Here is an 11,544-nt window from a genome sequence, read left to right as displayed (position 1 = left end):
TGGCTGTGGCTGTGGCTGCGGCGGCGGCGCAGGAGCAGAAACCGGTGCGGCGCAGAAGCCCCAGAGGCGGGCGGGGCGGAGCGGAGGGCCAGCGGGCCCCGGCGTGGGTCTCCCGCCAGGCCGCCGGGTGAGTTGGCAGCGACCCGGACCCCACCGGGCGCCCCTGAGCGGTAGGTCTGCCGCGCCGACCCCTCCCCCGCCGTGTGCTCCCCAGTCGGGCCCGCGGGGCCTGGGCGGGGAGGTGGGGGTCTTTCCGCGCCACCTCTCCCTGCTGGGACCACCCGGGGCTGCGGGGGGCTCCGCGCCGCCCCTAGTGTGTCTGGCGGCCCCACGCAGCTTAAGTTATTAGTATTTTATTGCAGCTACCTCACATTCACTTTGCACGTGCACATTTCTTCACTCTTCACATTGGTTCCCACATACGAAATGGCTAATAATCTGGGAGATGGAGGCAGCTTCGTTCTCCCTGAAATAGTTGTGCAACCATAGAAAGTTCGTGCTTGCGGAGGATTTTGGAGATGGTTAATCCCATTCCTTCATTTTATAGAAGGTAGACCCTGAACCGTTCCATGAATACTGGAGAGTCACTCAGCTAGTTAATGTGCGGCAGGAGGCTGAGGGAGAGAATTGCTTGAACCTGGGAGGCGGAGGTTGCAGTGAGCCGAGATTGCGCCACTGCACTCCAGCCTGGGCGATAGAGCGAGACTCCGTCTCAAAAAAAAAAAACCGCGAGCTAAGTTGTTTTGTTTTTGTTTTTTGAGGTGGTGGTCTCGTTCTGTCGCCCAGGCTGGAGTGCAGTGGCACGATCACGGCTCACGGCAACCTCGAACTCCCAGGCTCAGGTGATGCTCCTGCCGCAGCCTCCTGAGTAGCTGGGACCACAGGCGGGCGCCACCACGCCAGGCTAATTTTTGTATTTTTTGTATAGATGAATTCTCTCCATGTTGCCCAGGCTGGTCTCAAGTGATCCGTCGGCCTCGGCCTCCCAAAGTGCTGGGATTACAGGCGTGAGGCCACTGCGCCCGGGCCCAGAGCTAAGTTTGTAGACAGACAAAAATGGTAATGGTAAAATTCAGTTAATGATGTGAAGTGAATAGGAAGTTCATGTGGGCTGGCATTAACCTTTTAGACAGTGCTTTCTCCTTTTTAAACCTTGTTTTCTTATTTCAGATTTAACCCTTAGTGGCTTCTGAAGAAAATGGCAGAAACATCGCCAGAGCCTTCTGGGCAGCTTGTTGTACACTCAGACGCTCACAGTGACACTGTGCTGGCCAGTTTTGAGGATCAGAGGAAGAAAGGCTTCCTCTGTGACATTACTTTAATCGTGGAGAATGTACATTTCCGGGCCCACAAAGCCTTACTTGCTGCCAGTAGTGAATACTTCTCAATGATGTTTGCAGAAGAGGGGGAAATCGGCCAATCCATTTATATGCTGGAAGGCATGGTTGCAGACACCTTTGGTATCCTGCTGGAATTTATCTACACAGGTTATCTCCATGCCAGTGAGAAAAGTACAGAACAAATCCTGGCTACTGCTCAGTTCTTAAAAGTCTATGACCTGGTAAAGGCTTACACAGACTTCCAAAATAATCATAGCTCCCCAAAGCCAACAACTTTGAACACTGCTGGTGCCCCAGTGGTTGTTATCTCTAATAAGAAAAACGATCCTCCAAAGCGGAAACGGGGAAGACCAAAAAAAGTCAATACATTGCAGGAGGAGAAATCAGAACTGGCTGCAGAGGAAGAAATACAGTTAAGAGTGAACAATTCAGTTCAGAATAGACAAAACTTTGTGGTTAAAGGAGACAGTGGTGTACTGAATGAGCAAATTGCAGCAAAAGAAAAGGAAGAATCGGAGCCTACTTGTGAGCCAAGTAGAGAGGAGGAAATGCCAGTTGAAAAAGATGAGAACTATGATCCCAAGACCGAGGATGGCCAGGCAAGCCAGAGTCGATACAGCAAGCGGAGGATTTGGAGATCCGTCAAACTTAAAGATTACAAACTTGTTGGGGATCAAGAGGACCATGGTTCAGCCAAGAGGATCTGTGGAAGGAGAAAGCGCCCTGGAGGCCCTGAGGCCCGCTGTAAAGACTGTGGCAAGGTCTTTAAGTACAATCACTTTTTAGCAATCCACCAGAGGAGCCACACAGGTAATGATGTTTTCAAAGCTGATTGCAGTGTGTTGCAGAATTGGGAGTAGTGATGATAATAATAGCTTCCATTTACTGTGCAACTTCTGTGTGATGGGCATTGTAATAAAGCCTTTATACATGTTATTGCAGTTAATTTTCTCCACAATCCTGCAAGGTGGGTAATATCCTCATTATACATTGTATGATTAAAATCATATTTACTCATATGTAAGAGAGGGTTGCTAAAGTGCATAGTTTACAGATGAAGCAACCAAGTTCTAGGGAGCTTAAATAACTTGCCAGAGTCACCCGTTAGTGACAGAGCTGGGATTGAACCCAGGTAGCCTGGTTCAAGAACCCCTCTCATTTGTAGTTGTTGAATGAATCCTTTAATGTCCACTTATCAAGATCTAGCCCAATGTACCCTGCTTTCTGATTCTTGAACATTCTTCATCTTGACCATAACCATGCTTTTGCCCAAGTCTGTGTAGATCACTTTGTAACTCAGCTATCTAGCTTTAAATACCTTCTCATTTTTGGTCCCTCTAGCCCAGCGCTGACCAATGGGACCCTTCTGTGATGATGGAAATGTTCCTACATCTCTGATGTCCAATATGGTGGCCAGTAACCACATGTGGTTTTTGAGCACTTGAACTGTGGCTAGCGTGACTGAGAAACTGAATTTTAAATTTTATTTTAATTCATTTAAATTTGAATAACCACATGTGGCTAGTGGCTACCGTATTGGACACTGCAGTCCTAGTGAGAAATCCCTTCCTCCTTTGAGCCCTTTCAGGTGCTTAAAACCCACTCTGCTTTGGATCAGATTGTTGTTACCACTTGTATATCCCTCAACTTAATTGTAATCTTAAGTATAGGGACTGGGGCTTAAGTCTTCTCCTGTGATCCAGCAGTATCTGGTGCTGTGGTTCTCAGCCTGCAAATTGGAATCACTTAGGGAGCTTCTAAAACTACCAGTGCCTAGACCTCCACCCCAGAGCTTCTGATTTAGTTGTCTGGAGCCTTGGTGCTTTTAAAAGCTCCCTAAAGACTTTAGCTACAGATAGGTTGAAGAGCTTGAATTCAGGTACTTCGAACAAAGTGGATACTTGAGAAATATTTGTTGAACTGTAATAGGTTATATTTTAGCTTTTTTTTTTTTTTTTTTTTTTTTTTTGAGATGGATTCTCGCTCTGTCACCCAGGCTAGAGTGCAGTGGCGCGATCTCGGCTCACCGCAACCTCCGCCTCCCGAGTTCAAGTGATTCTCCTGCCTCAGCCTCCTGAGTAGCTGGGATTACAGGCACACGCCACCACGCCCAGCTAATTTTTTGTATTTTTAGTAGAGACGGGGTTTCACCATGTTGGTCAGGCTGGTCTCAAACTCCTGACCTCGTGATCTGCCTGCCTCAGCCTCCCAAAGTGCTGGGATTACAGGCGTGCGCCACTGCGCCCAGCTGGCTATTTTTATCAAAAATTTTATGTGCATAGTTTAGAGTTAAATCATTATACAAGACTTAAGAAAAAGCATGTAGGATCGTTCTTCCCTTATGTCCTCAGTACAGACAGTCCCCGACTCACAATGGTTCAATTCATCTTTACAATAGTGTGAAAGCAGTACATGTTCAACAGAAACTGTACTTTGAATTCTGAGTTTTGATCTTTTCCCGGTCTAGTAATATTCAGTATGATCCTCTCATGCCATGCCGGGCCACACAGTCACGTGGGTAAATGACCAGTACTCTGCATTTGGTGCATTCATACAGTACTCTGTATAAGTGCATTTTTCCTTATGATATTTTCAGTATGATGGGTTTGTTAGATGTAGTCCCATCATAAGTCAGGAAGCATCTGTATTCTGAATTTTGCAGCCCATCACTTTAGTATGGGTCTGTTTTCTTCCATCTGGGTAGATAACAGGTAGATTCATAAGGTTTGGAAACTGTCTTTCAGTTCTGGAAAATCTTGAGTTATTTCATAGATGATTTCTCCTCTCTGTTTTCTCTGTTCTCTCTAACTTTATTTTCTCTTATATTTTCCATCATTTTTGGCCCCACCCTCTGGGGGATTTCCACTTTGTTTTTCAGCCCTTTGAGGTTTTCTGTTTCAACTCTTATTTTTTTCCCCCTTTAGGAGCTCTTTTTTTTCTAAATGTTTTAATTTGAATGATCTTTTTATTTCACAATGTATTATCTTACCTCTATGAGCATGTTAATGATAACAACATTTTCCTCACTGGAGGCAAGTTGCTTTTTTTTTTCTTCTTGCTTGTTTGTCTGTCACTATTACAAAAGGCTCTCCTTGAGTGCCTGGTGTTTTTTTTTTAAATCATATGTAAGGGTGGGTTGCTAAAAGCTACTGGCAATGCTGCATGTGTGGAGAGAGCCTGTATTTTATTTATTTCTTAGGCTGTTGCCCAGGCTGGAGTGCAATGGCGTGATCTCCGATCACCACAACCTCCGCCTCCTGGATTCAAGTGATTCTCCTGCCTCAGCCACCCAAGTAGCTGGGATTACAGGCACGCACCACCATGCCTGGCTAATTTTTTTTGTATGAGAGAGTCTGTAAAACTGTGACCTTGTTCCCAGATCACACTGAGAGTCAGGCTGCTATTTCTCGTGGCCCAATAATGAGATGCAGATGAATTGGAGAGGAAGAGAGTTTTTATTTCTGTAACCAGTTATAGGGAGAAGGCCTGGAAATTATCGCCAGACCAACTCAAAATTACAGAATTTTTCAGAGCTTATATACCGCCTAAGCTGTATGTCTGTCTGTAAGTGTGCATTCCTCTAAAGACGTAGGTGATTAACTTCTTTTAATCTATATCCAAGGTCTGCGTCCCAAAGACCTTCTTCTGGAGCCTCAGTAAGTTTACTTAATCTAAATGGGTCTAGGTGCTGGGGTGATTACCCTTATCTTCTGCTAAATCACGGAGATTTGGGGAGTTCCTTCAGATCCCCAGTAAAACTTGTTTAATCCTAAGTGGGCCCTGTTAAGAATTCCTTCGTTATTTTGTCATGCTTTAAGGCCCAGGAGAAGCCTAGGGGAAACTCTTGGTGGGCTTTTGTTACATTCCAGCCTTTGTTTAAGGGCACTGGCTTTTAATGTTTAACTTAACCACTCAGTCAGTACTGAAACAGTTGTATGGAGGCCTGTCATAACCTCACTGGAGGTGGTGTGGCTGTGCCCCATGTCCTTACTGGTGCCTGGCTTCCACATCTTTGCTCTCTCACCTTGGACCTCTCATGTTCCACTGGAAGACGCTTCTGCTCTCCCACTTGGAGGCACTAGGCCTGGCTGCTGGCCTGTGTCTAGGACAGGATGGGGAAGAAGGAGTGGGGGAGTCTCATCATCCCAGATGGAAATGTTGACTTACTCTCCCTGTGGTGATCCCAACTCAACTGTGCCTAGAAACTCCTAATCCAAAGACCCCTTTTTCTTAACCCTCCTCAGTGAACACTCTCCATTCTCTTTTGGGGGAGGGACAGTCTCCTGGCTGTGTAGAGTGGAAGATTTGATCAGGGGTCTAAGCACCTTTGAAACAGACTTTCATTTACCCTCCCTCACCCCTGTTTCCAGAGATAGCAGGTGCCACCAATTCCTGAGCCTTAGGAGATTGTGTCTTAAAAATTAGGTTGTATTGGGCTGGGTGTGGTGGCTCATGCCTGTACTCCCAGCAATTTGGGAGGCCGAGGCAGGAAGATTGCTTGAGCCCAGGAGTTGGAGACCTGCCTGGGCAACATAGTGAGATCCCATCTCTAAAAAAAATTAAAATTACAATTAAAAAATTAGCTGGGTGTAGTGGTGGCACATGCCTGTGATCCCAGCTACTCAGGAGGCTGAAGTGGGAAGATCATTTGTTCCCAGGAGGTTGAGGCTATAGTCAGCTATGGTAGCGCCACTGCACTCCAGCCTGGGTGATAGAGTGAGACCCTGTTACAAAGGAAAAACAAAAAATTAGGTTATGTTAGTGCTACTCACTGCTGGCTTCAGATTCATCTGTTCAGCTTCCAAAATTTTATTGCTGATGTCTCTTGTGTTCATTGTTGGCCTTTTGGATGTGTGCCTTTTAAGAAAAATCCTTTATTGTTTTTTTAATTTGGGAGAGACAGAAAAATGTGTGGATTCTTACTTATACCATGCTTCTGGGGCTCTTCTTCCAGGGGAGCGACCTTTCAAATGTAATGAGTGTGGAAAAGGCTTTGCCCAGAAGCACTCGCTACAGGTCCACACCAGGATGCACACAGGCGAGCGGCCGTACACCTGCACCGTGTGCAGCAAGGCTCTGACCACCAAGCACTCACTGCTGGAGCACATGAGCCTGCACTCAGGTAGTGGGGCTTGCCCAGAGGGCCAGCTTCACCAGATTCCCATTCCCCAGGGTGGGCATTACCAACACCTAAATGGTGTTTTCTCAGCCTAGTATCATTTCCAACGTGGTGTCATTGAAAGACAGGATTTTGCATCTGTCTGAGTGCAGTTTAGAGTTCTGCACGGATCATTAAACTAGAGCTTATAAACTGGCTGCTGGGAGTTTAGTGTGCAAGCATGTTTTATTAAACCACCAAAGTTTAGAATTGTTTTACTTTGAACGCCTTTCGGGGAAACTTAAATTCTCCAGTTCTACCCCAGTCTCCAGTACTCCCGATTGCCTTACATACCTTTGCACATTTATGTTTCTGTGGTAGATTGAAGGCTTCTGGGTATGTAAACAAGTCGCTTGTATCATTTGTAGAAAATGGGGACCTGGACCCACTGTAGTATTTACCTTATTAGTGAGCATTCCAGTTCTTTATAATTTTTTACATGTTTTAGTGTTTTGGTTTTTTTGGCAGGACAGAAGTCTTTTACCTGTGATCAATGCGGAAAATATTTCAGCCAGAACAGACAGCTAAAGAGCCATTACCGAGTTCATACAGGTACGATAAAGTGAGAACATTTAGATTGGGGGGGAAGAAATGCAAATAAGAATTGTTTCTGAAACATTAGGTTTATATTGTTCTGCTCTTAGCACATATCGTTCACATAGGGTATTTAGGGAAAAGTGCCTTAAGAGTCTAAATTACATGTTTTTATGTTATTGTCCGCCACCATGTGAATTATGTTTTATTTGTATACTACAGTTTTGGTGCCACACACAGAAACCCTACAGAATTGGCATCTTTCAAAAGTGCCACTTGCACAGGGGAGCTTCAGTGAATGGTTGTTAGTGGTGCCTGGGCAGAGACATCATCATCCCATGGCTGTCAGCCCAGGCTTTCTCTCCCCTGGTTCTACCTGTTGTCCTTTTTCTTTCCTGCCAACTGATAAGAAATGAATGTGGGTTACGAGTGTCATTTGAGGTCATTTGTGGCCTCAGTCACACCAATACTTTGAGGAAAAAAGGAGAGACTACATTTAGAATTGGAAGGATCCTAGCTCTCTTGGAGGAGGCAGTGAGTTGAGGTGCTTAGGAAAATATTAACAGTTACCAAATTAATGAAAAAATTTTTGTGGTTAAAGTACTATATTTAAAGTGATTATTTTTCAGGGAAGTGCTTTAACACAAATCACTGAAGAAAAGGCAGGGAGAGCATGTATGCACTGACACTTTTTTTATTGTTGCGACAAGGCCACTCATTACCGGAATGCAAAGACTGCCATCGCAAATTCATGGATGTGTCTCAGCTAAAGAAACATCTGCGAACACACACAGGTAAAACTCCATCTCGTCTGTCCCCCCAGTACACGGGATGTTTTCAGGAGAGTGAAGAATGAAGTTCTCTGAGTGCCCTGCTAAGCCTGTGTTTGGAAATGTTTATTATAAATTGGATGGGAGTTGTGTAAGAAGATAAGTTAAAAGTTGGAAGGCAGAATGTTGTCAGCACTGTCTTTGGGGAAATCACATCTCTTGTAGATGAGCAAAATGGAGATCACTTACTGAGGACTATTCGTATGTCACAATTCATTTAATACCACAGAATAGTGAGTCTGAGTCTGGTTCTATGTTTCACTCTTAATTTACTTCAGCATTGAAGGTGATATCAAGACTTTTTTTTTTTTTTTTTTTTAAAGATAAGGGCTTGTGCTGTCATCCAGGCTAGAGTGTAGTGGCACGATCACAGCTCACCACAGCCTTGACCTCCTGGGCTGAGGTGATCGTCCCACCTCAGCCTCCTGGGTAGCTGGGACCACAGGTGCAAACCACCACACTACCTAATTTTTTATTTTTTAATTTTTGTAGAGATGGGTCCCACTATGTTGCCCAGGCTGGTCTTGAACTCCTGGGCTCAAGCAGTCTTCCTGTCTGAGCCTCCCAAAATGCTGAGATGACAGGCATGAGCCACCATACCCAGCAAGATAAATTTTTTTTTTTTTTTTTGAGACGGAGTCTCGCTCTGTTGCCAGGCTGCAGTGCAGTGGCACGATCTTGGCTCACTGCAACCTCTGCCTCCCGGGTTCAAGTGATTCTCCTGCCTCAGCCTCCCTAGTAGCTGGGACTATAGGTGTGCGCTACCATGCCCAGCTAATTTTTTTTGTATTTTTAGTAGAGATGGGGTTTTACCATGTTGGCCAGGATGGTCTCGATCTCTTGACCTTGTGATCTGCCCACCTTGGCCTCCCAAAGTGCTGGGATTACAGGCGTGAGCCACTGTGCCTGGCCCAAGATTATTTTTTTAGAAAAGACAGCCAAATGTAACAGACACAAATGTAGCATAGACACTGAGAATGTTTCCACTTTCTCCCCTAGAACCAACACTTAAACTTAAGCAGCACCACCTCCAGAAAAATCAGTTTCAGAGATGACGAGGAGGCAGCATTGATTAGGGCAGGTCAGTTTTTTTATGTAAGATCGGAAAATTGGATCTTTTATACCTTTTGTCAAAGAATGTATGTTAAAAATAAGCCTATTCAGTTTTCTAAGAAAAACTTGCCATTACAGGTTATTTAATAATTCTGTTGTCTACTGGAATTATCTAAATAGCAAATTGATTTATGGTGCTTTGGACTTTTTTTTTTTTTTTTTTTGGAGTCACTGTCTCTGTCGCCCAGGCTGTTGTGCAGTGGTGCTATCTTGGCTCACTGTAACCTCTGCCTGCTGGGTTCAAGCAATTCTCCTGCTTCATCCTCCCGAGTAGCTGGAACTACAGGTGCGCACCACCACGCCTGGCTAATTTTTGTGTTTTTTTTTTGTAGAGACAGGGTTTTGGCATGTTAGCCAGGCTGGTCTCGCTCAAACTCCTGGCTCAAGTGATCCACCCTCCCAGCCTCCCAAAGCGCTGGGATTACAGGCGTGAGCCACTGTGCCTGGCCTGGATGTTGTTTTTTAAATACAAGTTTTTCTTCTTAAATTCAGTAAACATCTCATAGGATATGGATTTTAACACATGTACTGAGCACTTACTGGGAACCAGACATTGTTTTAGGCTTTGAGGATACAGCAGTGAATGAGATGGACAGGCCCCTGCCTTAAGGGGCCAACATTCAATAGGGAAGACAGAGTACAGACAAGTATATAACACATTTGGTGTTGTGAGTGCGTTGAAGAATAAAATGCAAGGTAAGGGGGCGGGATGCCGGAAAGAGAGTTGCTCTTTTATGCATGGACTGGTTTGGGAAGGTCTCACAGATGAGGTGGCATCTTGGATGGAGATGAGAATGCAGTGGGGGAGTGAGCCAGCCGGCCATTGAAGATGTCCAGGAGAGAGCATTCTAGGCAGGGGGAGCCCTGGGCACAGGGCCCTCAGGCAGGAATAAATGTTTTTGACAAGCTGGAGACGTGCTGGGAGGAGCATCAAGGCAGCCAGAGAGCTGGGAGTAGGAAGTCATAGTGTAGGTGGATGTTCTCAATTTAGCTGCATGCTTTTTACCACCTGGGAAGCTTTAAAAAAAAGCCTTGTCCCAGCTGCCAAGATTCTGATTGACTTCACCTGGGCAGAGCCTGGGAATTGGTGTTTTTTAAAGTACCCCTCAACAGTTGTAGGGTGCACTCGGGCTGAAGTACTTTGAAGGCCACAGTAAAGATTGGATTTTATTCTGAGGGAGATGGCTTTACTGAGATGAGTGACATGGCATGACTTAGGGTTGTAATAGGGTCACTCTAGCCACCCTGTGAGGTGGGGGCGAGGCCAGGGTGGAGGCAGAGAGACCCATCAGGAGGCTGTGCAGTAGTGGGGCTCGGAACAGCACAGTAGCAGCAGAGGTGGTGTCAGGTGGTCCAGTTCTGGAGATAGTCCAGGGAAGAATTCATGTGATTCGCTCATGATTGGATGTGGGAGTTGAAAGAGGAGGCAAAAGCCACTGTGAGGAGGAAAAGCTAGGGAAGACTAAGAAGAACAGATCAGGAGTTAGATTGTGGACTGGTTGGTGTCTATTTGACATCCATGTGCAGGTGTGGGGTAGATCATTAGATTTCCAGGTCTGGAGAATTCGGGGGAGAGATGCAGCCAGAGCTCTGGATTTCCACAGGTGCACATGTGCCTGCAAATAGTGGGTGGCGCTGTGCTGAGTTCCCTAGGGAGACAGCGGTGGTGGAGGAGCGTGGAGCTGGCTTGGTCATGCTGAGCAGTGCCAGAAGAGGCACTTCCCCTTGGTTCTGTTGCCTGAGCATAAGGGGGAGTGAGGTTTCTGGGCTTTGTGAGTAGCAGTAGGACTTGAAGTGGGGATGAAAAGGAACAGAAGACCTCCCCCACTATAATTCCAGCAAACTCTTCTCAGCCTGTCAACTTTGAGAAGCAGAACAGAAAGTGGAAGATGTGTGATGAGTTAAAAAGGAGACAGACGGGCCTCTGTGGTTTGCATGACTTAGAAATATGAAAAGAAATTGAACCTATCAAAAAATTGGGGTTCTTCAAGAGCAGCAACTATGACCCATCTGTCCCTAGCATCAGCATGGAGAATCTGCTTGAATGTTGGTGAAGGGCATTGGCGTGCCATTTCCCTGCTCCCTGGGCATTCAGAGTGAGAAGTGCCAGTCCTACTCTCAGGGCCATGCTCAGCTGGAAACCAAGACTTCATCTCTTAGAGATGAGCTGTCATTCATCTCTTAGATCTTTAGGCACAAACTCTCTGGGTTAGATGTCCTGCACCAAGCACTGGAGAAGTCAAAGGCAAATTAGAGATGTTCCCTTTCCTAGGAGTGCATCCCCAGTGAGGGAGGTGAACACATTTTGACATGGAGGCAAAGTGTCAGGCAGACAAGCAGTACCTGCCAGGTCACCACATCTCAGGCCCTTCTGCTCACATCTTGTCCCCATACCTGGCACTGGTCAGGTTTACAGGGACCCAATCAAGCCAAATGAGTTCACAGGACAGATAAACCAGAGGATATATCAACTCAATAGAGGGATTACACCTTTCTGTTGCCCACAGCACCTCCTTCCTCACATTAGTGACCCGAAAGCCAAGTTAGTGATCAGAAGATTGCATGGTGA

The 11,544-nt window shown here is 45.8% G+C and overlaps 1 protein-coding gene across 2 annotated transcripts in view, besides 4 other annotated features; it reads left to right on the top strand.

The window, feature by feature from the left end:
- Nucleotides 6-11,544, top strand: part of ZBTB24 (zinc finger and BTB domain containing 24) — a 20,626-nt gene continuing 9,087 nt past the window's right edge. The window contains exons 1-5 of one of the 2 annotated variants that reach the window (NM_014797.3): nt 6-127; nt 1,171-2,150; nt 6,295-6,462; nt 6,967-7,050; nt 7,743-7,826. In NM_014797.3, coding sequence (NP_055612.2) covers nt 1,199-2,150; nt 6,295-6,462; nt 6,967-7,050; nt 7,743-7,826 — 1,288 coding nt within the window. In that variant the 5' untranslated portion in view covers nt 6-127; nt 1,171-1,198. Of the gene's footprint in view, nt 128-1,170; nt 2,277-6,294; nt 6,463-6,966; nt 7,051-7,742; nt 7,827-11,544 lie in introns of those variants that run through there. The other variant, NM_001164313.2, reaches the window with a different exon arrangement.
- Nucleotides 26-315: a silencer, noted in NCBI's record as "silent region_17463". NCBI's record gives its function as "represses an Ori minimal core promoter by ATAC-STARR-seq in GM12878 lymphoblastoid cells {active_cell/tissue: GM12878}" and the evidence as "EXISTENCE:reporter gene assay evidence [ECO:0000049][PMID:35858748]".
- Nucleotides 2,014-2,515: an enhancer, noted in NCBI's record as "H3K4me1 hESC enhancer chr6:109801913-109802414 (GRCh37/hg19 assembly coordinates)". NCBI's record gives its function as "activates a minimal SCP1, AML or CMV promoter by ChIP-STARR-seq in naive H9 embryonic stem cells {active_cell/tissue: H9 hESC(naive)}" and the evidence as "EXISTENCE:reporter gene assay evidence [ECO:0000049][PMID:30033119]".
- Nucleotides 10,707-10,776: an enhancer, noted in NCBI's record as "active region_24930". NCBI's record gives its function as "activates an Ori minimal core promoter by ATAC-STARR-seq in GM12878 lymphoblastoid cells {active_cell/tissue: GM12878}" and the evidence as "EXISTENCE:reporter gene assay evidence [ECO:0000049][PMID:35858748]".
- Nucleotides 11,117-11,186: an enhancer, noted in NCBI's record as "active region_24929". NCBI's record gives its function as "activates an Ori minimal core promoter by ATAC-STARR-seq in GM12878 lymphoblastoid cells {active_cell/tissue: GM12878}" and the evidence as "EXISTENCE:reporter gene assay evidence [ECO:0000049][PMID:35858748]".

The sequence above is a fragment of the Homo sapiens genome, chromosome 6 (genome assembly GCF_000001405.40).
Source record: "Homo sapiens chromosome 6, GRCh38.p14 Primary Assembly".
Lineage (NCBI taxonomy): Eukaryota > Metazoa > Chordata > Mammalia > Primates > Hominidae > Homo > Homo sapiens.
This window is presented reverse-complemented; position numbering and strand designations above follow the sequence as displayed.